This window comes from Homo sapiens, chromosome X (genome assembly GCF_000001405.40).
Source record: "Homo sapiens chromosome X, GRCh38.p14 Primary Assembly".
NCBI lineage: Eukaryota > Metazoa > Chordata > Mammalia > Primates > Hominidae > Homo > Homo sapiens.
The window spans coordinates 135,758,094-135,785,676 of record NC_000023.11 but is presented as its reverse complement, the minus strand read 5'-3'; the positions used below and the strand labels follow the sequence as shown (position 1 = coordinate 135,785,676).

Below are 27,583 nucleotides of genomic sequence, written 5' to 3'. Positions count from 1 at the left end.
CCGGGGTCTCACTATGTTACCCAGGCGATTTCATCCCGCTGGGTGAGAAGGTTCTGCATTCCTCCGCATACGTTGCTGTGCAGTTGTTACTGAAGGTCGCCTGTAGAGGGCGCCAGAGTCAGCGAAGGGGAGGGCTGCGCTTCCTGGTTCTCTGGGGCACGAGGCTTCTCCTCAGCACTCTGGCGCCCCCAACAGGTTCCCAGTGTTCGGCTGGGGCAGGCACGCTGTGGCTGGCTACTTCCCTTCCTCCCATCCCCCTTGGGCCAAACGGGATCGGTGCTTCTGGTGAGACGCCTCCCCATGCACATCACTCCCAGGTGCCCTAGGGGGCACATTTCCCACAACTCCCAGAGGGCAGGTTTCTAGAAAGTGCCACCAGTGGGGAGGCGCCACAACTTCACTGCCATTTTGTGAGGTGCCGCCGTCTCTCCTCCAGCAAGGTCAGGACTTCAGGACTGTGAGTGGGCAGTTTTTCCCTGGATGCTTTAATTTCGCCCTGGAAAGTGTCCTTTTTCCTCAGAAAGAGTCTTTTCTGTGGTGTTCTCTGTCCGGTGTGTGGGAGGGCTCCCTTGGGGAAGTGGCTTAGCTCTGGGGACACCGCCATGGGCGCCTGTGTCAGCCGCGGGGGAGCGTTTTCCTTGGGCACCCCGTCTCGGCTATGTTGTGGGGCCAGGGGGCTTTTCTTGGGGGCTCTTGTTGGGGGCTCCCTGTCGGTGATGGAAAAGGCGACTTTTCCTGCTGAAATGACCTGAGCCCGGGGGGTGGGGGCCATGCCTTGGTTGCCTGTGTCGGCCTCGGGTGCGGCGGTGTTTCTTTCCCGCTCAGTCGCTGTCCTGAGGGGGGACTCTGCCCTGGGGTCACTATCTGTGCTCATGGAACGTGGTGGGGGTGGCTGTGCCCCGGACACATGATCGTAGCCCTGTGGGGTCACTGTCGGGGGCTTTATCTCAACCTCTGGTGGACTCTTCCTTGGGTACTGATGTCGGCCGTGAGGCGCATTTGTCCTCGGATGTTGCTCGCTCTCAGTTACAATGTGTTGGCTTTTCTTTGGTTCTGCTTATCCCCGTTGTGGACGCTTACTGGATGCTTTCTCTTGGTGCTGGGTTTTTAAAATTATTATCTGTAGGTGCTCTCTCCCGGTGCCGCCGGGGAGTGGGGTAATGTTCCTTGGATTCTCTAAGCCTATGGTGGGACTCAGGGAGCTCTGTGTCAGCCATGAAGGAGGCCACGTGACCTTGGGAACTCTGTCTCGACCCAGGTTGGGGTGCTTTTCCTCGGTTGGTTGATCGCAATTCTGAAGGAGCTCTTTCCTGGGATTCTATCTGACCTTTCAGCCACAGCCTCAGGTGTCTGTGTGGGAATGGGAGTCCAGAAATATTCGAAGGTTCCAGCTGTGCCACATTCGAACACTCGCAGTACAGTTAGTCTTTCATTCCAGCCACTCTGATGGGTGTGCAGTGATCTCTCCTTGTGTCTACACTCGCATTTCTCTGCTGATTAATGAGATCGAGCACCTTTTTAAGAAATTGTTTTTATTTATTGATTTTTGTTTGTCTTTTGAGATGAGGTCTCCCTCTGTCACCCAGACTGGATTGCAGTGCCACCACACCCAGCTATTTATTGTTTTCTTTTTTTTTTTTTTTTAGCACCATTTTATGTGTTTATTGGTCATTTAACTATGCCTTTTATGAAGTTCCTTTTCAGGTATTTTCCCCCAGCTTTTACTGAGATGTTTGTATTTTAAAAATGGATTTGTAGTTTCCATATATTCTGTATTTGAGTTATACGCACAGGCACACAGGCGTATATGTACATATACAAAAATACATATACAATTTTAGTATCTTCTATAAATCTTTTTTGCTTTTACACGATCTCAATAATGTGTTGTAGATGAACAGATTCTCTTAATTTTATTAATTAGTGTATTATTTATGGATAGTGCTTTTTATTATTTTAAGAAACATCTTTGACTCACCCAATGCCATTACGATAATATTCCTTTTCTTAAAATTATACTTTAAGTTCCGGGATACATGGGCAGAACGTGCAGGTTTGTTACATAGGAAGACACATGCCATGGTTGTTTGCTGCACCCATTGACCCGTCATCTACCTTAGGTATTTCTCTAATGCTATCCCTCCCCTAGCCCCCCAACCCCTGACAGGCCCCACTGTGTGATGTTCTTCTCCCCGCGTCCATGTGTTCTCATTGTTCAACTCCCACTTATGAGTGAGGACACGTGGTGTTTGGTTTTCTGTTCCTGTGTTAGCTTGCTGACACATGTCCCTTCAAAGGACATGAACTCATTCTTTTTTATGGCTGCATAGTATTCCGTGGTGTATATGTACCACATTTTCTTTATCCAGCGTCGTGGCAGGCGCCCGTAATCGCAGCTACTCAGGAGGCTGAGGCAGGAGAATTGCTTGAACCTGGGAAGTGGAGGTTGCAGTGAGCAGAGACTGTGCCACTCCACTGCAGCCTGGGTGACAGAGCGAGGCTCCGACTCAAAAAAAAAAAAAAATGTCTTCCAATGCATGGAAAGAAAATTTTTCTCCATTTACTGCAGTCTTGAATTTCTCTGAGTGATGTTTTATAATTTTTGTGAAGTACTCTAGCACATCTTGATTAGATTTATTCCTAAATATTTGATGTTTTTGGAACTGTTTTTAATGACATTTGAAATCTCATATTCTAATTATTCGTTATACAGAATTGCCATTCTGTATAATGCCATTCATTATACAGAATTGCTATTCATTATACAGAAATGCCATTGGTTTTCATTGTATCTAGTAAGTTGACTAAATTTGCTTATTAACTGTAATGATTTTATTCTTCTGCATTTTTCTATGTACAGAACAATGTCATCTGTGAATAATGACAGTTTTATTTCTTTCCAAATTTTAAACCTATTGTATTTTCCTGATGATATGGCACTTTTTGGAACCTCCAGTAAATTGTTGAATGGATAGTGGACATCTTTGTCTTGTTTTCAAACTCAGGGAGAAAATACTGATACGTCACTATGAAGTATGGCATTTAAAAATTTTTTGTACATATGCTAACCAGAATAGGAAAGTTGCCCTTTTTCCTAAGTTGGTGATAGTTTTTATCACGAATGGACTTTAAACATTGATCCATGTATGAAAATGATCATGCGGTGTTTCCCTGTTTTTGTTGTTGTTGTTGTTGTTGTTGTTAATGTGGTGCACTACATTTGTCGATTTTCAAATGTTAAATCAGTGTTGCCTTTCTGCAATATACTCCACCATGGCTGATGTATGTCCTTTTTAAGTACTAGTACATTTTATTTGCTCACCCTTAGTTTGGAATTTTTGTGTCTAAGTTCGGGGTGATCTTGGCTTGTATTTTTGGCTTGATCTTGTAGTTTTTCATTCTTCTAAATTCCTTGTCAGATGTTGTTATCAGTTTTGTATCAATCTTCTAATAAGGGTTCCTAATAAGGGTTAATACACGTTGGTTTATGCATCTATTTGAATATATAAGCATAAATACTTATATATTAAATATATATGATATATAATATATAATTTAAAATATAATGTATAATAAGGGTTAATACAGATTGGTTTATACATCCATTTTTTCTAATAAGGGTTAATACAGATTGGCTTATACATCTTCAAATAGGTAATAATATTTTTATCTATTTTTGGTTGATGACAGCTGCTTATTCCACAAGCATTCTGATTGATTTGGTTATACCATCTTTCTTCTGTTTTACTTTGTGTACATTAAAATTAGGTTTCTTTTCCTGAGAACAGAGTGTTTGTTGAGACTTGGTAAATCTTGGCTCATGATTAAAAGTGAAATTAATGATTCAAAGTCTTGGTTGTATACACATATGCAGATTGCTTGCCATTTTGTGATTGTTAGATTTTTGTCATGAATAGAATATATTCATTGATGTTTTTCAGGAAACAATGACCGATAAAACAGAGAAGGTGGCTGTAGATCCTGAAACTGTGTTTAAACGTCCCAGGGAATGTGACAGTCCTTCGTATCAGAAAAGGCAGAGGATGGCCCTGTTGGCAAGGAAACAAGGAGCAGGAGACAGCCTTATTGCAGGCTCTGCCATGTCCAAAGAAAAGAGTAAGTAAGCCTGTCCTCACGTCCTCCTCATGCTCCTGCCTCATCCCCTCCAGAGAAACTGTCCTTGTCAAGGTTAACAGTTTCGGCTGACATTGCCATTAACTTCTCAGCAGCATTTGACAGTTGTTCACTCGCTTCTTCATGAAAACCTTCTAGGATTTCCATTTCCGACAATCTTTTTTTTTTTTTTAATTTCTTGTCCGTATTGGTGAATCCCTATCATTTTTTTCTTGAGATGGAGTTTCGCTCTTCTCAGCCAGGCTGGAGTGCAGTGGCGCGATCTCGGCTCACTGAAATCTCCGTCTCCTGGGTTCAAGTGATTCTTCTGCCGCAGCCTCCCGAGTAGCGGGATTACAAGCACCAGCCACCACACCCAGCTAATTTTTGTAAGTTTAGTAGAGATGGGGTTTCGCCATGTCGGCCAGGCTGGTCTGGAACTCCCCCCCTCAGGTGATCCACCCACCTCAGCCTCCCAAAGTGCTGGGATTACACGCACGAGCCACCGCCCCCGACCCCATCATTGTTTTTTTCTACATTTCTTTTTCTTCTCTTCTCTAAATACTGTAAAAAATTCCTGAACCCCAGCATCTCTCTCTCTCCTTCTATTCCACTCTGCCACGATCAATCACTGAGCTCCTGAGATACCTCCATGTTTCCCATTATTTCCCGCATCAAACACATACCCTCCAACCCTGCAGCCGGGTCATGATGTTGGCATGTAAATCACGTGATGCCATGTCGCTCCTGAACACCCATCCTCAACACTCCTAAGCACTCAGAACCGACTGCGAAGCAGCTTTGGTCTGCGAGGTTCTGCGTGGCCTGGCCTCCGTCACCCTCTCCTCACACGGGCCCCATCATCTCCTGACTCTCTCTGCTACTGTCCTTCACCCCATAGTGCCCGGTCCATCCCCACTCCAGCCCATATCCTTGGCCTCACCGCAACCTGGAACTCCCCCTCTGCCTCTGCGCAGGCAGCTCTGCTTTTTCCTTCAAGCCCTGCCCAAGGGTACCTCCACAGAAGGCTCTGCCCAACCAGCAGCAGCTCCTGGGGCTCCCTCTGCTGCTGTTGCCCACAGGCCTGTGGACTGCTTCCTTACCACTAGCCCAACACTGTATGTTTCATTTGCTCATTGTGCACGTACTGTCTGACCGCCCCATGAGGATGTGAGCTCCACAAGGGCAGGGAACGTTGCTCTCTGGGCTGTTTACTGCTGATCCCCAGCTACCGGCACGCTGCCTGCCACAGACGATGAATAAATGAGAGGTGTCAGACCTGGAGTGAAAAGAAAGTCACTTTTGTGAGAAAGAAAGGAAGGATGAGGAAAATCATACAGTAAAAGGGACTTTTTGGTGGTGGAGTGCGTATAGAACTTTTAGCAGTAATGGCCGCCTCTATTTTCTCAGAATGTGTTTGATATAACAGGAGACCGGTTGAGTTGTATCCCAGTTGCCTGGGTTCCAGCTCAGTAAAGCATGGCAGTTTGTAAGTGAATTTGAGAAATCATGATATCAAGTGAGACTTGCTGCTTTCAACTTGTAAAGCATAACAAGCTGAAACTGTCCCATGAGTACCAGGGATCTGTGAATGTTGCTTTAGAGTTGTACTGCCTTACTTGGTTTCCATGTCTATTCATAGGGCCAGAAAATAAGAGGTGGTTTTATTGTATTATGTGTCCTGGCCTCCGTTTGTCAGGCCTGGGATTTCTCCCTGGTGTATCCTCCCATTTATGAAATAAATAATTCCCTAGAAACTGAGGAGCACATAGATGTACCCAGAGGGGTGATGAAACACACATATCTCACAGCTCAGCTTCTCAGTTTGATTTCCAGAGCTGTCATTCATGAGGTCTATGTGGAGGGGAAAGAAAGTGGTCAAACACCAACTGATGGCTTTTACTCAAAATCTGTTTCACCAGAGCTTATGACAGGACATGCTATTCCACCCAGCCAATTGGATTCTCAGATTGATGACTTCACTGGTTTCAGCAAAGATGGGATGATGCAGAAACCTGGTAGCAATGCACCTGTGGGAGGAAACGTTACCAGCAGTTTCTCTGGAGATGACCTAGAATGCAGAGAAACAGCCTCCTCTCCCAAAAGCCAACGAGAAATTAATGCTGATATAAAACGTAAATTAGTGAAGGAACTCCGATGCGTTGGACAAAGTAAGTAATATAAGAATGTCTGTTTTATAAAACTATAGGAAGTCTCTCTTTCTATGATTCAGAAGATATTCATGTTGCCTGTTGAGTTTCATTCTTTGCCAGAGTTGAGATTGCACATAATTTATGGTGGTTCCTCTTTTCTTTGACTAAAGCATGTACATTTTTTCTTTTTCTTTTCTTACTTGGTTATGGTTAAAGGAGTTACATTCGTATGTATGTGCAGGTGTCTTTTTTATTATTTAGGTTTTGTATGTGCAGGTATCTTGATTTAAGCATTTAAAACATTTCAGCCTCTGAAGCATGATTGCTGAGGTGTAGATTCACTTCTATTCTTCTTTATATTTGATAATACTGAAGTTTTTTTTTTTTCAACATCTTCAGAATATGAAAAAATCTTCGAAATGCTTGAAGGAGTGCAAGGACCTACTGCAGTCAGGAAGCGATTTTTTGAATCCATCATCAAGGAAGCAGCAAGGTGGGTAGAAATAGGAACTGTCCAATTTCTTTAAGCACTTGGGCTCAATAGAGCACTGGGGGTGAGCGTTGGGGAACAGCCCCTGCCTTGCGTTTCTCAAACCCTGGTCCTCACTCACAGTTATGGCTGTCTCCACAGTTACTTAGGCTAATGTTATCTGAGTGTAACTCATTCTTCGAAGACTATGGAGACTTCCATTTTCACCATAGTCTGAGGTGCGCATTGTCCCTCAATTGACACTCTTTGTATTTGCTAGACTACCTCTTTTTAAAAAATTTGTGTAGGCACATAGCAGATGCATATATTTCTGGGCTATATGAGATATTGTGATACAGACAACAATGTGTAATAATCACATCAAGGTAAGTGGGGTTTCTATCACCTCAAGCTTTTATCCTTTGCGTTACAGAGAATACAATTATACTCTTCATTATTTTTAAATGTGCAATTAAATTATTACCGACTATAGTCACCCTGTTTGGCTATGAAATACGACATCTTATTTATTCCATACTTCTACGTATTAATCATCCCCACTTCCCACACCCTCCACCCCCACTAACCTTTGTAGCCTCTGGTAACTGTCATTCTACTCTCTATCTCCATTAGTTCAGTTGTTTTACACTTTTACTCCCAAAAATAAGTGAGAACATGTGAAGTTTGTCTTTCTGTGCCTGGCTTATTTCACTTAACATAAGGACCTTCGGTTCTATCCGTGTTGTTGCAAATGACTGAATCTCATTCTTTTTTTTATGGCTAAACAGTACTCTGTGGTGTATATGTACCATATTTTCTTTACCCATTCATGTGTTAGTGGACACTTAGGTTGCTTCCAAATCTTGGCTACTGTGGATGGTGCTGCAACAAACATGGGAGTGCAGATATCTGTTCGGTACACTGACTTCCTTTCTCTTGGGTATATACCCAGCAGTGGGATTGCTGGATCATATGATAGCTCCATTTTTAGTTGTTTGAGGAACCTCCAAACTGTTCTTCATAGTTAGTTGTTGTAGTAATTTATATTCTCACCAACAGTGTATGAAGGTTCCCTTTTCTCCACACCCTTGCCAGCATTTGTTATGCCGGCTAGACTGCCTCTTACCATGCAGATACATTTCTATTTCCATGCTGACTGTTACTTCATCTTTCTATCTGTCACAGCGCTTCCTACAGCATAGGTTCTTTGGCTATCTTTTGGTTAATGACATGTCTCTTTCTCTTCAGATGTATGAGACGAGACTTTGTTAAGCACCTTAAGAAGAAACTGAAACGTATGATTTGAGAATACTTGTCCCTGGAGGATTATCACACCCCAAATGCATAATCTCGTTAATGATTGAGGAGAGAAAAGGATCAGATTGCTGTTTTCTACAATGGAGCAGGATATTGCTGAAGTCTCCTGGCATATGTTACCGAATCAACTGGCCTTCCAGAGGCTAAGAAATTTCTGTTAGTAAAAGATGTTCTTTTTCCCAAAGCGTTTTATTTGAAAGGATAACTTGTGTTTTGGTTATTTTGTATTCCCACCTGTGCTGGTAGATATTATTAACCCATTAGGTAAATACTATTACAGTCGTGGTTTCTGCAGCAGCTCACACTGATGTAGCTGGCGTTTATAACTACCTTCTTTCGCTACCCGTTTCGCATTCCCTTTGCCCTGAGATAGCATGTCAGTTGGTCATGATGCTTGGCCTGGCAGGATGACTCAAACCTTCATTACGGAAGAGTCTGAACCATTAGATATCCTGCCTGGATGGGGTTGCTGTGATTTTCCATTAACTCTAATCGAAAAACACAGGAGGACTAAGAAGCTCTCTAGACATATCACACATACTCTTCCTTAGCCCCTCGTGTGGTGGGAACCCGATCTCAATGTTGAAATCTGTATCATCAGCCTTCAACGAAAAGGCAGAACTAATGGGAGATTTTAATGTGTGTGTGTGTGTGTGTGTGTGTGTGTGTGTGTGTGTGTGTTGGTAGGGGGTATATATACATGCACACACACACTTTCTAATCTCCCATTATACATATAATACACATTACACATATTATATATACACCCCCATATATATATATGTATGCGTGTGTGGGGGGGTATATCCAATATATATAATAAAGGTAGTTCCTAGATAGGATTGGTCTGATACAATAATTTGGAGCTGCAGTAGCAGTCCCTGTAAGGCTGTTGTTTCCAGATACGACTTGAACGTTCTATGCTTTTTATTTTTTTTAAAGACAGAATCTTGCTCTGTTGCCCAGGCTAGAGTGCGGTGACACGATCACAAGTCACTGCCACCTCGACCTCACCCCAGTTCAAGCGATCCTTGTGCTTCAGCCTTCGAAGTAGCTGGGATTACAGGTGCACCACAGGTGCCATCACGCTGCAATTTTTGTATTTTTAGTGGAGATGGGGTTTTGCCATGTTGTCCAGGCTGGTCTCGAAACCTGGCCTCAAGTGATCTGCCCATCTCAGCCTCCCAAGGTTCTAGGATTACAGGCATGAGCCACTGCACCCAGCCCATTCTATGCTTTTTTTAAAAAAATTAATTCATTCAATTATTCAACAAATATTAATTGTGCCAGGTACTTTTTTTTATTATACTTTAAGGTTTAGGGTACATGTGCACAACGTGCAGGTTTGTTACATATGTATACATGTGCCATTTTTGTGTGCTGCACCCATTAACTCATCATTTAACATTAGGTATATCTCCTAATGCTATCCCTCCCCCCTCCCCACACCCCACAACAGGACCCAGTGTGTGATGTTCCCCTTCCTGTGTCCATGTGTTCTCATTGTTCAGTTCCCACCTATGAGGGAGAACATGCGGTGTTTGGTTTTTTGTCCTTGCGATAGTTTGCTGAGAATGATGGTTTCCAGCTTCATCCATGTCCCTACAAAGGACATGAACTCATCATTTTTCATGGCTGCATAGTATTCCATGGTGTATATGTGCCACGTTTTCTTAATCCAGTCTATCATTGTTGGACATTTGGGTTGGTTCCAAGTCTTTGCTATTGTGAATAGTGCCACAATAAACATACGTGTGCATGTGTCTTTATAGCACCATGTTTTATAATCCTTTGGGTATATACTCAGTAATGGGATGGCTGGGTCAAATGGTATTTCTAGTTCTAGATCCCTGAGGAATCGCCACACTGACTTCCACAATGGTTGAACTAGTTTACAGTCCCACCAACAGTGTAAAAGTGTTCCTATTTGTCCACATCCTCTCCAGCACCTGTTGTTTCCTGACTTTTTAATGATTGCCATTCTAACTGGTGTGAGATGGTATCTCATTGTGGTTTTGATTTGCATTTATCTGATGGCCAGTGATGATGAGCATGTTTTCATGTGTCTGTTGGCTGCATAAATGTCTTCTTTTGAGAAGTATCTGTTCATATCCTTCGCCCGCTTGTTGATGGGGTTGTTTGTTTTTTTCTTGTAAATTTGTTTGAGTTCGTTGTAGATTCTGGATATTAGCCCTTTGTCAGATGAGTAGACTGCAAAAATTTCCTCCCATTCTGTAGGTTGCCTGTTCACTCTGATGGTGGTTTCTTTTGCCGTGCAGAAACTCTTTAGTTTAATTAGATCCCATTTGTCAATTTTGACTTTTGTTGCCATTGCTTTTGGTGTTTTAGACATGAAGTCCTTGCCCATGCCTATGTCCTGAATGGTATTGCCTAGGTTTTCTTCTAGGGTTTTTATGGTTTTAGGTCTAACATGTAAGTCTTGAATCCATCTTGAATTAATTTTTGTATAAAGTGTAAGGAAGGGATCCCATTTCAGCTTTCTCCATATGGCTAGCCAGTTTTCCCAGCACCATTTATTAAATAGGGAATCCTTTCCCCATTTCTTGTTTTTGTCAGGTTTGTCAAAGATCAGATAGTTGTAGATATGCAGCATTATTTCTGAGGGCTCTGTTCTGTTCCATTGGTCTGTATCTCTGTTTTGATAACAGTACCATGCTGTTTTGGTTACTGTAGACTTGTAGTATAGTTTGAAGTCAGGTAGCGTGATGCCTCCAGCTTTGTTCTTTTGGCTTAGGATTGACTTGGCAATGCGGGCTCTTTTTTGGTTCCAAAATCAGTGTGCAAAAATCACAAGCATTCTTATACACCAGTAACAGACAAACAGAGAGCCAAATCATGAGTGAACTCCCATGCACAATTGCTTCAAAGATAATAAAATACCTAGGAATCCAACTTACAAGGGACGTGAAGGACCTCTTCAAGGAGAACTACAAACCAGTGCTCAATGAAATAAAAGAGGACACAAACAAATGGAACAACATTCCATGCTCATGGGTAGGAAGAATCAATATCGTGAAAATGGCCATATTGCCCAGGGTAATTTATAGATTCAATGCCATCCCCATCAAGCTACCAATGACTTTCTTCACAGAATTGGAAAAAACTACTTTAAAGTTCATACGGAACAACTTTCATTTTGGTGGAATCACTTTGGTTTCCCCTGTTGAAAAAATTCCTCAATGTGTAACTAAGTCCTCTAGTCCAGCAGAGCCAAAAGTTGGCTTCTTGGTGCACAGTTTGCTTCTTGAGCATAAGAAGCAACATTTTGTTACTAGATACCCAGGAGTAATAGTGAGAGAAGGCCCACATATTGCCTCCTTCATTCTTGAAGTCATAAATGTGGCTATGGGAGAAATAGTTCCATATACTTGAGGCTAGGATTCAGCTTTGCCACTTTCTAGATTGTCAGCCAAGCCCCACAAGGCACTGCCACAAAGCTGCAATGACAACTCAGGCTTTAAAAGGTCCTCCAATGTTCTATTGAGCCAGCCATTTCAGGATGTTGAAGAACATCACAAGACTAGTGAAGTACATTAGCATGAGCCCATTCCCATACTTCATTGCCTGTAAAGTGAGTTTGATGTTTAAAACTGGTGCAGTGTGGAATACCACGACGGTGGATACAGCCTTTCCTCATACCACAGTACCGATTTCCTTGAAGTTCCATGGGTGGGAATGAAAATCCATATGCAGAATAAGTGTCTATTTGAGGAAGATCAAAGTGATACCCCTTCAATCGTGGAAGCAGACCCAAGTAATCACAGTGCTACCTGGAAGCTGACTGACCACTCTGGGACATGGTGCCATATTGGGGACTCAGTGTTGGTCTCTGCTGCTGTCAGATTGAATAGTGAGCAGTGGCTGTAGTGAGATGGACCTGGTAAATGAAAGTTCATGTTGCCAAACCCGTAAATAAGCTTTATCTCAGCCACCATAATCATGATGCACCATTACTGCTTAGAAGATAGAGGGGTGCACCCAAGTAGGTATGGAGGGGTCTCAGGTAGCTTAGAGTGGCCTCAGCCAAGACCGCAAGTATACGGCTACCTCAGTTCCACAACTTTAAGAAGTTAGACCTGCCCGTAACCCAAATGTGCTTGAAAACAGGTTCTCTCTGAGTCCTTAGTTAGTCAGCAGCCTGGTTGATACCCTAACTTTGATTTTGTGAGATCCTAAGCAGAGAAACCAATCCAGGCTGCATGGATTTCTGATCTACAGAACTGCTTATATATTTGTGTTATTTTAAGCTGCTGAATCGGGGACAATTTCTTTTGCATTAGTAACAAACCTAATAGATGTGGTGCCTGCATATTCTGAAGTAACAAATGAAAATCAGGCATGAAGTTTTTTATTTTCTAGTCAACTGGTCTCAGGGAACTCCACATGAGATCACAGGTGCAGGATTAGGGAAGCTTCTCTTTTTCTGGGCCCCGGTCCATGCTAGCGGGGTTTCAGTCACTTGTCAATGGGTCCACGGTACTGCACAACATTTAGGTATATGCTAAAACAAGCATCTATTATGCAACTCGTTTCATGTTCCTTATTTAGTAGTAAGAAAGGCAAGATGTAAGAACTTGCTGTTCACCTTATAACCACCATCTTGACATGCCAGACTACCAGATTGTTAAACGCTTCACTCAGTTAGAAGGCCCCTGATTTTGTGTGAGAATTATTTCTCACATAATGTCTTGCAAGTGTGTTGCTACCATGTCTGGATTAGTTGCTACCTCCTTTTCAGTCAGCATGATGTCATCACTGCAAAGAATGGTGTCACATCTGGTTTAAGAGAAAGGTGGCCATTTTCCCTAAGAACTCGTTTAGGATATAAACCTAGAGAGTTGATATAAGCTTGAAATAGGAAATGATAGTACATTGCTGTCCTTTCTAGCTGAATTGAAATTCTTGTTTACGACAATTACTGAAAGAAAGCCAAACATTCACCTAATCAGTATTGTATATCAGGTTCCGAGGGATGTCACAGTTGCTGACACAACAAAACCACTTGTAGTACAGCAGCTGCAGTTGGAACAACAATTTGATTAAGTTTATGGTGCAATCTCGGCTCACTGCAACCTCCACCTCCCGGGTTCAAGCAGTTCTCTTGCCTCAGCCTCCTTGTGTAGCTGGGACTATAGAAACGCATTATCACACCTGGCTAATTGTTTGTATTTCTTAGTAGAGACAGAGTTTCACCATGTTGGCCAGGCTAGTCTCAAACTCCTGACCTCAAGTGATATGCCCACCTCAGACTCCCAAAGTGCAAGTGCGAGCCACTGCGCAGGGCCCCAGCTATTTTTTGTATTTTTGGTAGAGATGTGGTTTCGCCACTTTGGCCAGCCTCGTCTGGAACTCCTGACCTCAAGTGATCCACCCGCTTCTGCCTCCCAAATCCTGGGATTACAGGCGTGAGCCACTGTGTCCGGTGAAAACTTCACTTTTAAGTGAAACGCAGAAGCAAAATCTGATAATCAGAAAATGAGATACTGCGTGTTCTCATTCATATGTGGGAGCTAAACAATGGGTACACATGAAAATAAAGGTAGAAACCATTGACTCTGGGGACTCCAAAATGGAGGTAGAGGGGAGGGAGGGAGCGGGTCGGAGGGTTGAAAAACTACCTATTGGATACTCTCTTCACTATTTGGGTGATGAGTTCACTAGAAGCCCAAACCCCGGCACTGTGCAATTATATCCAAGTGAGAAATCTGTACATGTACCCTTCTGGCATCTATAATTTTAAAAAAGCTAACAAAGAAAGCTTCAGTTTTAAATCTTAACCAAATACACAGGAAAAGGATTACTATACTTGGACACCTTTACAGGTTTCTATGTTAGTTTTTGGTATTAAAGCAGAAACCTGTTCCTCGACCACTTTATTAATTGTATGTCCTCTTTGTACAAACATCGGAAATAGAAGACTGTCACTTTTGGTTCTGTAACTGTCTTGACTGCAGTCTTCTACAGCTTTCACAGAGTTAATGGTCCCTAGTATCTGCCATTCTCCAATTGCCCTGGGTGGCGAAATCGCTGCCATAGTAAACTTTTCACTGATAATTAGAGTTTCTGGAAACATGCAGGGCTCGTTATTTAAGAGTGACTCCATTTGGGCATTTTGGTGGATGGCCTACAGGTTTTCTTGCAGAGTATACTAGAGTCTCCAGAATGAATAACCCTAGGAACTTGAGGAACTAGCGCTTTCCAGAATTTTGGAAGCCGAGATACAAACATTGGTTTTCTCAAAAGCACTGCAAGTGGGAAGGAAAATCCATATCTAGACTAAATGTCTGTTCAGGTAAGAAGAAAGCACTTCTCTTTTTATAATAGAAGTGATCTATTGTAATCCACATACCAACTAGTGGCTGGCAGATCATTCTGGAGTCTGGTGCCAAATTGGGGGCTTAGTGTTGGTCTCCATTCCTGGAAGATTTTTCACTCAGCAATGACCGTAGCCAGGTTTGCCATGGTGAGTGGAGGTCCATGCTACTGCGCATAATCTCCAACCCTGCCAGTTTGACCACTTTGTTTGTTGAGCCGGTAAGATTGTGACACACGTGTTAGGGAAAGAGGCTGATTAATACCTAGATAATAAGTACCTTATCCATCTGATTATTAAAATTCTGCTCTGCTGAGGATACCCTTTGCTGAGAACTCTCATGAGACCCCAATATCTTCACATTGTATGTCCGTTTGGACAGGCCTGTCCACATATTTTTTTTTTTCTCAGACTTCTTTGTCGCACATTTTTAATCGTGTGTTCTCAAAGTCCCTGACAATTCAGCGAATGAGTGGGACACAGCCTATGCATGATACATACTTACACGTCTGGATATGCCTCCTCCAAGAAGGTGCACTGCTCAAAGTTCTTCCCTCTGGGAGGATTTCCCTTCATCACTGTCCTTCAGGGCTGTCCCAGTCAGGACTGTCGTATGCAGCTGTCCACCTGTGGCTTGTGTGGTAGGCAGGATTCTAATTAAGCCCCAACAAGATTCCAGTCTCATGGTTATTCAATCAAATACTCCTATGAGTACTGCTCTGGTGGGATTTTTTTAATGCAAAAAATGAGTATTTTATTTTGATAGCACTAGAGGAAACAAACAAAACAACTGTTCCTACATCAAAGTGAAAACAATGTTTAAGCTTTCCTATCAATCAAATATATTCCAAAAGAAAATGTGTTCTATGAAGGTTCTGAAGCACAGGCAAATATTAACACAATAGGCTAAGAAGCTGTAATACTGAATATGACTCTCTTCTAACAGGGTACTTAACAAACATAATTTTTAATTTTAATTTTAATTAATTAATTTATTTTGAGACGGACTCTCCCTTTGTCCCCCAGTGACAATGGATCTCTGCCCCTTTGGAGTGCAGTGACGCGATCTCTGCTCACTGAAGCTTGCACCTCTCAGGTTCAAGTGATTCTCCTGCCTCTGCTGCCCTAGTAGCAGGGAGTACAGGTGCCCACCACCATGCCTGGCTATATTTTTTAATTTTAATTTTAAGTTTTTTACAAACATAACTTTTGAATTACAAAACCAGTGAAGTAATCCCTTCCAAATAATTGTGTCAATAGTGAAACTGCCTGTTCCATTAAAACTCGAAAAATTTCGCTGTAATATTTTTTACCACTATGGACAATTCAAGTAAATTTTGCTGCACTTAAAATAAGTTGTGAAAGTAGAAAAATGGGCCGGGCATGGTGGCTCTCCCCTGTAATCCCAGGACTTTGGGAGGCCAAGGCAGATGAATCACTTAAAGTCAGGAGTTTGAGACCAGCCTGGAGAACATTGTGAAACACCGTCTCTGCTAAAAATACAAATACCAGCCGGGCATGGTGGTACATGCCTGTAATCCCAGCTTCTCGGGAGGCTGAGGAAGGAGAACTGCTTGAACCTGGGAGGCGGAGGTTGCAGTGAGCCAAGATCATGCCACTGCACTCCAGCCTGGGTGACAGAGCCAGACTGTCTCAAAAAAAATAAAAAAGGTGGAAAAATATACAAAGTTCCAGATTAAAATGATTAATAGATGCAATATAATAAGGTTTCCCCTCCTTCCATCCTTTCTTTCTTTCTCTCTTTCTTTCTTCCTTTCTTCCCTTCTTTCTTCCATCCTTCCTTTCTTCCTTTCTTCCCTTCTTTCTTCCATCCTTCCTTTCTTCCTTCCTTTCTTTCTTTCGTTCTTTCTTTCCTTCCTTCCTTCTTTTTTCTTTCTCTTTCTTTCTTTCTCTCTTTCTTTCTCTCTTTCTTTCTCTCTTTCTTTTTTTTGTAGACAGTCTTACTCTGTCACCCAGGCTATAGTGCAATGGTGCGAACAAAGGTCAATGCAGCCTCAACCTCCTGGTGTCAAGCCTCCCGAGCAGCTGGGACCACAGTTACACGCTCAGCTAATTTTTGTATTTTGTGTTAAGATGGGGTTTCACCATGCTGCCCAGGCTGCTCTTGAACTCCTGGGCTCAAGGAATCCACCCCTCTTGGTCTCCCAAATTGCTGGGATTACAGACGTGAGCGACCGCACTGGGGCCCTCATTTTTCTTATCAATTAACAATAATGGTTACCTTTAACAGATAGAGGTTGACTTTATTTATTGATTGATTGATTTTTATTTTTAGACAGAGTCTCACTCTGTTACCCAGGCTGGAGTGCAGTGGCATGATCTCAGCTCACTGCAAATTCTGCCTGCCCGGTTCAAGCGATTCTCCAGCCTCAGCCTCCCAAGTAGCTGGTGGGATTATAGGTGCATGCCACCACGCCCGGTAATTTTCTGTATTTTTAGTAGAGACGGGATTCACCATGTTGGTCAGACAGACTGGTCTCGAACTCCTGACCTCAGGTGGTCCAGCCCCTTCGGCCTCCCAAAGTGTTGAGATTACAGGCGTGAGCCACTGTGGCGGGTCGGGGTTGACTTTAAAACACAACCCCCTCAAATGAAAATTGCAGTTTGTTGTTGTTCTTTTTCTTTTTCTTTTCTTTTCCTTCTTTCTTTCTTTTTTTTTTTTTTTTTTCTGAGGTGGGGTCTCCTCTACCGCCTGGGCTGGAGTGCAGTGGCTCACTGCTACCTCCACCTCCCGGGTTCAAGCCATCCTCCCACCTCAACTTCCCGAGTAGTTGGGACCACAGGTGCGAGGCCACTAGGCCCAGCTAATTTGTGTGTTTCTTTCTTTCTTTCTTTCTTTCTTTCTTTCTTTTTTGATTAGTTGGTTGCTTTGTAGAGCCGGGGTCTCACTATGTTACCCAGGCGATTTCATCCCGCTGGGTGAGAAGGTTCTGCATTCCTCCGCATACGTTGCTGTGCAGTTGTTACTGAAGGTCGCCTGTAGAGGGCGCCAGAGTCAGCGAAGGGGAGGGCTGCGCTTCCTGGTTCTCTGGGGCACGAGGCTTCTCCTCAGCACTCTGGCGCCCCCAACAGGTTCCCAGTGTTCGGCTGGGGCAGGCACGCTGTGGCTGGCTACTTCCCTTCCTCCCATCCCCCTTGGGCCAAACGGGATCGGTGCTTCTGGTGAGACGCCTCCCCATGCACATCACTCCCAGGTGCCCTAGGGGGCACATTTCCCACAACTCCCAGAGGGCAGGTTTCTAGAAAGTGCCACCAGTGGGGAGGCGCCACAACTTCACTGCCATTTTGTGAGGTGCCGCCGTCTCTCCTCCAGCAAGGTCAGGACTTCAGGACTGTGAGTGGGCAGTTTTTCCCTGGATGCTTTAATTTCGCCCTGGAAAGTGTCCTTTTTCCTCAGAAAGAGTCTTTTCTGTGGTGTTCTCTGTCCGGTGTGTGGGAGGGCTCCCTTGGGGAAGTGGCTTAGCTCTGGGGACACCGCCATGGGCGCCTGTGTCAGCCGCGGGGGAGCGTTTTCCTTGGGCACCCCGTCTCGGCTATGTTGTGGGGCCAGGGGGCTTTTCTTGGGGGCTCTTGTTGGGGGCTCCCTGTCGGTGATGGAAAAGGCGACTTTTCCTGCTGAAATGACCTGAGCCCGGGGGGTGGGGGCCATGCCTTGGTTGCCTGTGTCGGTCTCGGGTGCGGCGGTGTTTCTTTCCCGCTCAGTCGCTGTCCTGAGGGGGGACTCTGCCCTGGGGTCACTATCTGTGCTCATGGAACGTGGTGGGGGTGGCTGTGCCCCGGACACATGATCGTAGCCCTGTGGGGTCACTGTCGGGGGCTTTATCTCAACCTCTGGTGGACTCTTCCTTGGGTACTGATGTCGGCCGTGAGGCGCATTTGTCCTCGGATGTTGCTCGCTCTCAGTTACAATGTGTTGGCTTTTCTTTGGTTCTGCTTATCCCCGTTGTGGACGCTTACTGGATGGATGCTTTCTCTTGGTGCTGGGTTTTTAAAATTATTATCTGTAGGTGCTCTCTCCCGGTGCCGCCGGGGAATGGGGTAATGTTCCTTGGATTCTCTAAGCCTATGGTGGGACTCAGGGAGCTCTGTGTCAGCCATGAAGGAGGCCACGTGACCTTGGGAACTCTGTCTCGACCCAGGTTGGGGTGCTTTTCCTCGGTTGGTTGATCGCAATTCTGAAGGAGCTCTTTCCTGGGATTCTATCTGACCTTTCAGCCACAGCCTCAGGTGTCTGTGTGGGAATGGGAGTCCAGAAATATTCGAAGGTTCCAGCTGTGCCACATTCGAACACTCGCAGTACAGTTAGTCTTTCATTCCAGCCACTCTGATGGGTGTGCAGTGATCTCTCCTTATGTCTACACTCGCATTTCTCTGCTGATTAATGAGATCGAGCACCTTTTTAAGAAATTGTTTTTATTTATTGATTTTTGTTTGTCTTTTGAGATGAGGTCTCCCTCTGTCACCCAGACTGGATTGCAGTGCCACCACACCCAGCTATTTATTGTTTTCTTTTTTTTTTTTTTTAGCACCATTTTATGTGTTTATTGGTCATTTAACTATGCCTTTTATGAAGTTCCTTTTCAGGTATTTTCCCCCAGCTTTTACTGAGATGTTTGTATTTTAAAAATGGATTTGTAGTTTCCATATATTCTGTATTTGAGTTATACGCACAGGCACACAGGCGTATATGTACATATACAAAAATACATATACAATTTTAGTATCTTCTATAAATCTTTTTTGCTTTTACACGATCTCAATAATGTGTTGTAGATGAACAGATTCTCTTAATTTTATTAATTAGTGTATTATTTATGGATAGTGCTTTTTATTATTTTAAGAAACATCTTTGACTCACCCAATGCCATTACGATAATATTCCTTTTCTTAAAATTATACTTTAAGTTCCGGGATACATGGGCAGAACGTGCAGGTTTGTTACATAGGAAGACACATGCCATGGTTGTTTGCTGCACCCATTGACCCGTCATCTACCTTAGGTATTTCTCTAATGCTATCCCTCCCCTAGCCCCCCAACCCCTGACAGGCCCCACTGTGTGATGTTCTTCTCCCCGCGTCCATGTGTTCTCATTGTTCAACTCCCACTTATGAGTGAGGACACGTGGTGTTTGGTTTTCTGTTCCTGTGTTAGCTTGCTGACACATGTCCCTTCAAAGGACATGAACTCATTCTTTTTTATGGCTGCATAGTATTCCGTGGTGTATATGTACCACATTTTCTTTATCCAGCGTCGTGGCAGGCGCCCGTAATCGCAGCTACTCAGGAGGCTGAGGCAGGAGAATTGCTTGAACCTGGGAAGTGGAGGTTGCAGTGAGCAGAGACTGTGCCACTCCACTGCAGCCTGGGTGACAGAGCGAGGCTCCGACTCAAAAAAAAAAAAATGTCTTCCAATGCATGGAAAGAAAATTTTTCTCCATTTACTGCAGTCTTGAATTTCTCTGAGTGATGTTTTATAATTTTTGTGAAGTACTCTAGCACATCTTGATTAGATTTATTCCTAAATATTTGATGTTTTTGGAACTGTTTTTAATGACATTTGAAATCTCATATTCTAATTATTCGTTATACAGAATTGCCATTCTGTATAATGCCATTCATTATACAGAATTGCTATTCATTATACAGAAATGCCATTGGTTTTCATTGTATCTAGTAAGTTGACTAAATTTGCTTATTAACTGTAATGATTTTATTCTTCTGCATTTTTCTATGTACAGAACAATGTCATCTGTGAATAATGACAGTTTTATTTCTTTCCAAATTTTAAACCTATTGTATTTTCCTGATGATATGGCACTTTTTAGAACCTCCAGTAAATTGTTGAATGGATAGTGGACATCTTTGTCTTGTTTTCAAACTCAGGGAGAAAATACTGATACGTCACTATGAAGTATGGCATTTAAAAATTTTTTGTACATATGCTAACCAGAATAGGAAAGTTGCCCTTTTTCCTAAGTTGGTGATAGTTTTTATCACGAATGGACTTTAAACATTGATCCATGTATGAAAATGATCATGCGGTGTTTCCCTGTTTTTGTTGTTGTTGTTGTTGTTGTTGTTAATGTGGTGCACTACATTTGTCGATTTTCAAATGTTAAATCAGTGTTGCCTTTCTGCAATATACTCCACCATGGCTGATGTATGTCCTTTTTAAGTACTAGTACATTTTATTTGCTCACCCTTAGTTTGGAATTTTTGTGTCTAAGTTCGGGGTGATCTTGGCTTGTATTTTTGGCTTGATCTTGTAGTTTTTCATTCTTCTAAATTCCTTGTCAGATGTTGTTATCAGTTTTGTATCAATCTTCTAATAAGGGTTCCTAATAAGGGTTAATACACGTTGGTTTATGCATCTATTTGAATATATAAGCATAAATACTTATATATTAAATATATATGATATATAATATATAATTTAAAATATAATGTATAATAAGGGTTAATACAGATTGGTTTATACATCCATTTTTTCTAATAAGGGTTAATACAGATTGGCTTATACATCTTCAAATAGGTAATAATATTTTTATCTATTTTTGGTTGATGACAGCTGCTTATTCCACAAGCATTCTGATTGATTTGGTTATACCATCTTTCTTCTGTTTTACTTTGTGTACATTAAAATTAGGTTTCTTTTCCTGAGAACAGAGTGTTTGTTGAGACTTGGTAAATCTTGGCTCATGATTAAAAGTGAAATTAATGATTCAAAGTCTTGGTTGTATACACATATGCAGATTGCTTGCCATTTTGTGATTGTTAGATTTTTGTCATGAATAGAATATATTCATTGATGTTTTTCAGGAAACAATGACCGATAAAACAGAGAAGGTGGCTGTAGATCCTGAAACTGTGTTTAAACGTCCCAGGGAATGTGACAGTCCTTCGTATCAGAAAAGGCAGAGGATGGCCCTGTTGGCAAGGAAACAAGGAGCAGGAGACAGCCTTATTGCAGGCTCTGCCATGTCCAAAGAAAAGAGTAAGTAAGCCTGTCCTCACGTCCTCCTCATGCTCCTGCCTCATCCCCTCCAGAGAAACTGTCCTTGTCAAGGTTAACAGTTTCGGCTGACATTGCCATTAACTTCTCAGCAGCATTTGACAGTTGTTCACTCGCTTCTTCATGAAAACCTTCTAGGATTTCCATTTCCGACAATCTTTTTTTTTTTTTTAATTTCTTGTCCGTATTGGTGAATCCCTATCATTTTTTTCTTGAGATGGAGTTTCGCTCTTCTCAGCCAGGCTGGAGTGCAGTGGCGCGATCTCGGCTCACTGAAATCTCCGTCTCCTGGGTTCAAGTGATTCTTCTGCCGCAGCCTCCCGAGTAGCGGGATTACAAGCACCAGCCACCACACCCAGCTAATTTTTGTAAGTTTAGTAGAGATGGGGTTTCGCCATGTCGGCCAGGCTGGTCTGGAACTCCCCCCCTCAGGTGATCCACCCACCTCAGCCTCCCAAAGTGCTGGGATTACACGCACGAGCCACCGCCCCCGACCCCATCATTGTTTTTTTCTACATTTCTTTTTCTTCTCTTCTCTAAATACTGTAAAAAATTCCTGAACCCCAGCATCTCTCTCTCTCCTTCTATTCCACTCTGCCACGATCAATCACTGAGCTCCTGAGATACCTCCATGTTTCCCATTATTTCCCGCATCAAACACATACCCTCCAACCCTGCAGCCGGGTCATGATGTTGGCATGTAAATCACGTGATGCCATGTCGCTCCTGAACACCCATCCTCAACACTCCTAAGCACTCAGAACCGACTGCGAAGCAGCTTTGGTCTGCGAGGTTCTGCGTGGCCTGGCCTCCGTCACCCTCTCCTCACACGGGCCCCATCATCTCCTGACTCTCTCTGCTACTGTCCTTCACCCCGTAGTGCCCGGTCCATCCCCACTCCAGCCCATATCCTTGGCCTCACCGCAACCTGGAACTCCCCCTCTGCCTCTGCGCAGGCAGCTCTGCTTTTTCCTTCAAGCCCTGCCCAAGGGTACCTCCACAGAAGGCTCTGCCCAACCAGCAGCAGCTCCTGGGGCTCCCTCTGCTGCTGTTGCCCACAGGCCTGTGGACTGCTTCCTTACCACTAGCCCAACACTGTATGTTTCATTTGCTCATTGTGCACGTACTGTCTGACCGCCCCATGAGGATGTGAGCTCCACAAGGGCAGGGAACGTTGCTCTCTGGGCTGTTTACTGCTGATCCCCAGCTACCGGCACGCTGCCTGCCACAGACGATGAATAAATGAGAGGTGTCAGACCTGGAGTGAAAAGAAAGTCACTTTTGTGAGACAGAAAGGAAGGATGAGGAAAATCATACAGTAAAAGGGACTTTTTGGTGGTGGAGTGCGTATAGAACTTTTAGCAGTAATGGCCGCCTCTATTTTCTCAGAATGTGTTTGATATAACAGGAGACCGGTTGAGTTGTATCCCAGTTGCCTGGGTTCCAGCTCAGTAAAGCATGGCAGTTTGTAAGTGAGTTTGAGAAATCATGATATCAAGTGAGACTTGCTGCTTTCAACTTGTAAAGCATAACAAGCTGAAACTGTCCCATGAGTACCAGGGATCTGTGAATGTTGCTTTAGAGTTGTACTGCCTTACTTGGTTTCCATGTCTATTCATAGGGCCAGAAAATAAGAGGTGGTTTTATTGTATTATGTGTCCTGGCCTCCGTTTGTCAGGCCTGGGATTTCTCCCTGGTGTATCCTCCCATTTATGAAATAAATAATTCCCTAGAAACTGAGGAGCACATAGATGTACCCAGAGGGGTGATGAAACACACATATCTCACAGCTCAGCTTCTCAGTTTGATTTCCAGAGCTGTCATTCATGAGGTCTATGTGGAGGGGAAAGAAAGTGGTCAAACACCAACTGATGGCTTTTACTCAAAATCTGTTTCACCAGAGCTTATGACAGGACATGCTATTCCACCCAGCCAATTGGATTCTCAGATTGATGACTTCACTGGTTTCAGCAAAGATAGGATGATGCAGAAACCTGGTAGCAATGCACCTGTGGGAGGAAACGTTACCAGCAGTTTCTCTGGAGATGACCTAGAATGCAGAGAAACAGCCTCCTCTCCCAAAAGCCAACGAGAAATTAATGCTGATATAAAACGTAAATTAGTGAAGGAACTCCGATGCGTTGGACAAAGTAAGTAATATAAGAATGTCTGTTTTATAAAACTATAGGAAGTCTCTCTTTCTATGATTCAGAAGATATTCATGTTGCCTGTTGAGTTTCATTCTTTGCCAGAGTTGAGATTGCACATAATTTATGGTGGTTCCTCTTTTCTTTGACTAAAGCATGTACATTTTTTCTTTTTCTTTTCTTACTTGGTTATGGTTAAAGGAGTTACATTCGTATGTATGTGCAGGTGTCTTTTTTATTATTTAGGTTTTGTATGTGCAGGTATCTTGATTTAAGCATTTAAAACATTTCAGCCTCTGAAGCATGATTGCTGAGGTGTAGATTCACTTCTATTCTTCTTTATATTTGATAATACTGAAGTTTTTTTTTTTCAACATCTTCAGAATATGAAAAAATCTTCGAAATGCTTGAAGGAGTGCAAGGACCTACTGCAGTCAGGAAGCGATTTTTTGAATCCATCATCAAGGAAGCAGCAAGGTGGGTAGAAATAGGAACTGTCCAATTTCTTTAAGCACTTGGGCTCAATAGAGCACTGGGGGTGAGCGTTGGGGAACAGCCCCTGCCTTGCGTTTCTCAAACCCTGGTCCTCACTCACAGTTATGGCTGTCTCCACAGTTACTTAGGCTAATGTTATCTGAGTGTAACTCATTCTTCGAAGACTATGGAGACTTCCATTTTCACCATAGTCTGAGGTGCGCATTGTCCCTCAATTGACACTCTTTGTATTTGCTAGACTACCTCTTTTTAAAAAATTTGTGTAGGCACATAGCAGATGCATATATTTCTGGGCTATATGAGATATTGTGATACAGACAACAATGTGTAATAATCACATCAAGGTAAGTGGGGTTTCTATCACCTCAAGCTTTTATCCTTTGCGTTACAGAGAATACAATTATACTCTTCATTATTTTTAAATGTGCAATTAAATTATTACCGACTATAGTCACCCTGTTTGGCTATGAAATACGACATCTTATTTATTCCATACTTCTACGTATTAATCATCCCCACTTCCCACACCCTCCACCCCCACTAACCTTTGTAGCCTCTGGTAACTGTCATTCTACTCTCTATCTCCATTAGTTCAGTTGTTTTACACTTTTACTCCCAAAAATAAGTGAGAACATGTGAAGTTTGTCTTTCTGTGCCTGGCTTATTTCACTTAACATAAGGACCTTCGGTTCTATCCGTGTTGTTGCAAATGACTGAATCTCATTCTTTTTTTTATGGCTAAACAGTACTCTGTGGTGTATATGTACCATATTTTCTTTACCCATTCATGTGTTAGTGGACACTTAGGTTGCTTCCAAATCTTGGCTACTGTGGATGGTGCTGCAACAAACATGGGAGTGCAGATATCTGTTCGGTACACTGACTTCCTTTCTCTTGGGTATATACCCAGCAGTGGGATTGCTGGATCATATGATAGCTCCATTTTTAGTTGTTTGAGGAACCTCCAAACTGTTCTTCATAGTTAGTTGTTGTAGTAATTTATATTCTCACCAACAGTGTATGAAGGTTCCCTTTTCTCCACACCCTTGCCAGCATTTGTTATGCCGGCTAGACTGCCTCTTACCATGCAGATACATTTCTATTTCCATGCTGACTGTTACTTCATCTTTCTATCCATCACAGTGCTTCCTACAGCATAGGTTCTTTAGCTATCTTTTGGTTAATGACATGTCTCTTTCTTTTCAGATGTATGAGACGAGACTTTGTTAAGCACCTTAAGAAGAAACTGAAACGTATGATTTGAGAATACTTGTCCCTGGAGGATTATCACACCCCAAATGCATAATCTCGTTAATGATTGAGGAGAGAAAAGGATCAGATTGCTGTTTTCTACAATGGAGCAGGATATTGCTGAAGTCTCCTGGCATATGTTACCGAATCAAATAGCCTTCCAGAGGCTAAGAAATTTCTGTTAGTAAAAGATGTTCTTTTTCCCAAAGCATTTTATTTGAAAGGATAACTTGTGTTTTGGTTATTTTGTATTCCCACCTGTGCTGGTAGATATTATTAACCCATTAGGTAAATACTATTACAGTCGTGGTTTCTGCAGCAGCTCACAGTGTTGTAGCTGGTATTTATCACTACGTTCTTTCGCTACCCATTTCACATTCCCTTTGCCCTGAGATAGCATGTCAGTTGGTCATGATGCTTGGCCTGGCAGGATGACTCAAACCTTCATTACGGAAGAGTCTGAAACATTAGATGTCCTGCCTGGATGGGGTTGCTGTGATCTTCCATTAACTCTAATCGAAAAACACGGGAGGACTAAGAAGCTCTCTAGACATATCACACATACTCTTCCTTAGCCCCTGGTGTAGTGGGAACCCGATCTCAATGTTGAAATCTGTATCATCAGCCTTCAACGAAAAGGCAGAACTAATGGGAGATTTTAATGTGTGTGTGTGTATTTTACACACACATTAAAATACACACACACTTTAAAATCTCCCATTATACATGTAATGCACATTATACCTGTGTGTGTGTGTGTGTGTTGGTAGGGGGTATATATACCTACACACACACACTTTGTAATCTCCCATTATACATATAATACACATTATACACATTACACATATTACATATACACCCCTATTCATATATATATACCCCATATATATATATACCATATATAGTATATATATATATATGTGGTATATATACCATATATGGTATATATACCATATATATATGGTATATATACCATATATATATGGTATATATATATATATATATATATATATATATATATATGCACGTAGGGTGGTATATCCAATATATATAATAAAGGTAGTTCCTAGATAGGATTGGCCTGATAACAATAATTTGGAGCTTCAGTAGCAGTCCCTTTAAGACTGTTGTCTCCAGATATGACTTGCACATTCTATGCTTTTTATTTTATTTTTTTAAGACAGAATCTTGCTCTGTTGCCCAGGCTAGAGTGCAGTGTCACGATCACAAGTCACTGCAACCTCCAGCTCACCCCAGTTCAAGCGATCCTTGTGCTTCAGCCTCCCAAGTAGCTGGGATTACAGGTGCACCACAGGTGCCATCACGCTGCTAATTTTTGCATTTTTAGTGGAGATGGGGTTTTGCCATGTTGTCCAGGCTGGTCTCGAAACCTGGCCTCAAGTGATCTGCCCATCTCAGCCTCCCAAGGTGCTAGGATTACAGGCATGAGCCACTGCACCCAGCCCATTCTATGCTTTTTTTAAAATTAATTCATTCATTGATTCAACAAATATTAATTGTTCCAGGTACTTTTCTTTTTTTTATTATTATACTTTAAGTTTTAGGGTACATGTGCACAACGTGCAGGTTTGTTACATATGTATACATGTGCCAAGTTGGTGTGCTTCACCCATAAACTCGTCATTTAACATTAGGTATATCTCCTAATGCTATCCCTCCCCCCTCCCCACACCCCACAACAGGCCCCGGTGTGTGATGTTCCCCTTCCTGTGTCCATGTGGTCTCATTGTTCAATTCCCACCTACGAGTGAGAACATGCGGTGTTTGGTTTTTGTCCTTGGGATAGTTTGCTGAGAATGATGGTTTCCAGCTTCATCCATGTCCCTACAAAGGACATGAACTCATCATTTTTCATGGCTGCATAGTATTCCATGGTGTATATGTGCCACATTTTCTTAATCCAGTATATCACTGATGGACATTTGGGTTGGTTGCAAGTCTTTGCTATTGTGAATAGTGCCGCAATAAATATACGTGTGCATGTGTCTTTATAGCAGCATGATTTATAATCCTTTGGGTATATATCCAGTAATGGGATGGCTTGGTCAAATGGTATTTCTAGTTCTAGATCCCTGAGGAATTGCCACACTGACTTCCACAATGGTTGAACTAGTTTACAGTCCCACCAACAGTGTAAAAGTGTTCCTATTTGTCCATATCCTCTCCAGCACCTGTTGTTTCCTGATTTTTAAATGATTGCCATTTTAATTGGTGTGAGATGGTATCTCATTGTGGTTTTGATTTGCATTT

General features: G+C 42.6%; 2 protein-coding genes across 5 annotated transcripts; both read left to right on the top strand.

The window, feature by feature from the left end:
• Window positions 174–9,825, top strand: CT45A5 (cancer/testis antigen family 45 member A5). 2 transcript variants are annotated; one of them, NM_001007551.6, is made up of 5 exons: window positions 174–440; window positions 3,942–4,116; window positions 6,036–6,284; window positions 6,666–6,759; window positions 7,984–9,825. In NM_001007551.6, the coding sequence occupies exons 2-5, from the start codon at window positions 3,948–3,950 to the stop codon at window positions 8,039–8,041; spliced, it is 570 nt and encodes a 189-aa protein (NP_001007552.2). In that variant the 5' UTR covers window positions 174–440; window positions 3,942–3,947; the 3' UTR covers window positions 8,042–9,825. The 2 variants fall into 2 exon arrangements, with proteins under 2 accessions (NP_001007552.2, NP_001165759.2); NM_001172288.2 differs by having other exon boundaries at window positions 202–457; window positions 7,984–8,547.
• On the top strand, window positions 17,486–25,633 carry CT45A3 (cancer/testis antigen family 45 member A3). 3 transcript variants are annotated; one of them, NM_001370148.2, is made up of 5 exons: window positions 17,486–17,569; window positions 21,227–21,401; window positions 23,321–23,569; window positions 23,950–24,043; window positions 25,268–25,633. In NM_001370148.2, the coding sequence occupies exons 2-5, from the start codon at window positions 21,233–21,235 to the stop codon at window positions 25,323–25,325; spliced, it is 570 nt and encodes a 189-aa protein (NP_001357077.1). In that variant the 5' UTR covers window positions 17,486–17,569; window positions 21,227–21,232; the 3' UTR covers window positions 25,326–25,633. The 3 variants fall into 3 exon arrangements, with proteins under 3 accessions (NP_001357077.1, NP_001017435.1, NP_001357078.1); NM_001017435.2 differs by lacking the exon at window positions 17,486–17,569 and adding an exon at window positions 17,684–17,724 and having other exon boundaries at window positions 25,268–25,538; NM_001370149.1 differs by lacking the exon at window positions 17,486–17,569 and adding an exon at window positions 17,684–17,741 and having other exon boundaries at window positions 25,268–25,538.
• The last annotated feature ends 1,950 nt before the right edge of the window (window positions 25,634–27,583 follow it).

Coding starts and splice junctions, on each gene's coding strand:
- CT45A3 (NM_001370148.2), top strand. CDS start 21,233: ATGACCGATAAAACAGAGAAGGTGGCTGTAGATCCTGAAACTGTGTTT. Junction 23,570..23,949: donor ACTCCGATGCGTTGGACAAA/GTAAGTAATATA, acceptor CAACATCTTCAG/AATATGAAAAAATCTTCGAA. Junction 24,044..25,267: donor ATCATCAAGGAAGCAGCAAG/GTGGGTAGAAAT, acceptor CTTTCTTTTCAG/ATGTATGAGACGAGACTTTG.
- CT45A5 (NM_001007551.6), top strand. CDS start 3,948: ATGACCGATAAAACAGAGAAGGTGGCTGTAGATCCTGAAACTGTGTTT. Junction 4,117..6,035: donor TGCCATGTCCAAAGAAAAGA/GTAAGTAAGCCT, acceptor CTGTTTCACCAG/AGCTTATGACAGGACATGCT. Junction 6,760..7,983: donor ATCATCAAGGAAGCAGCAAG/GTGGGTAGAAAT, acceptor CTTTCTCTTCAG/ATGTATGAGACGAGACTTTG.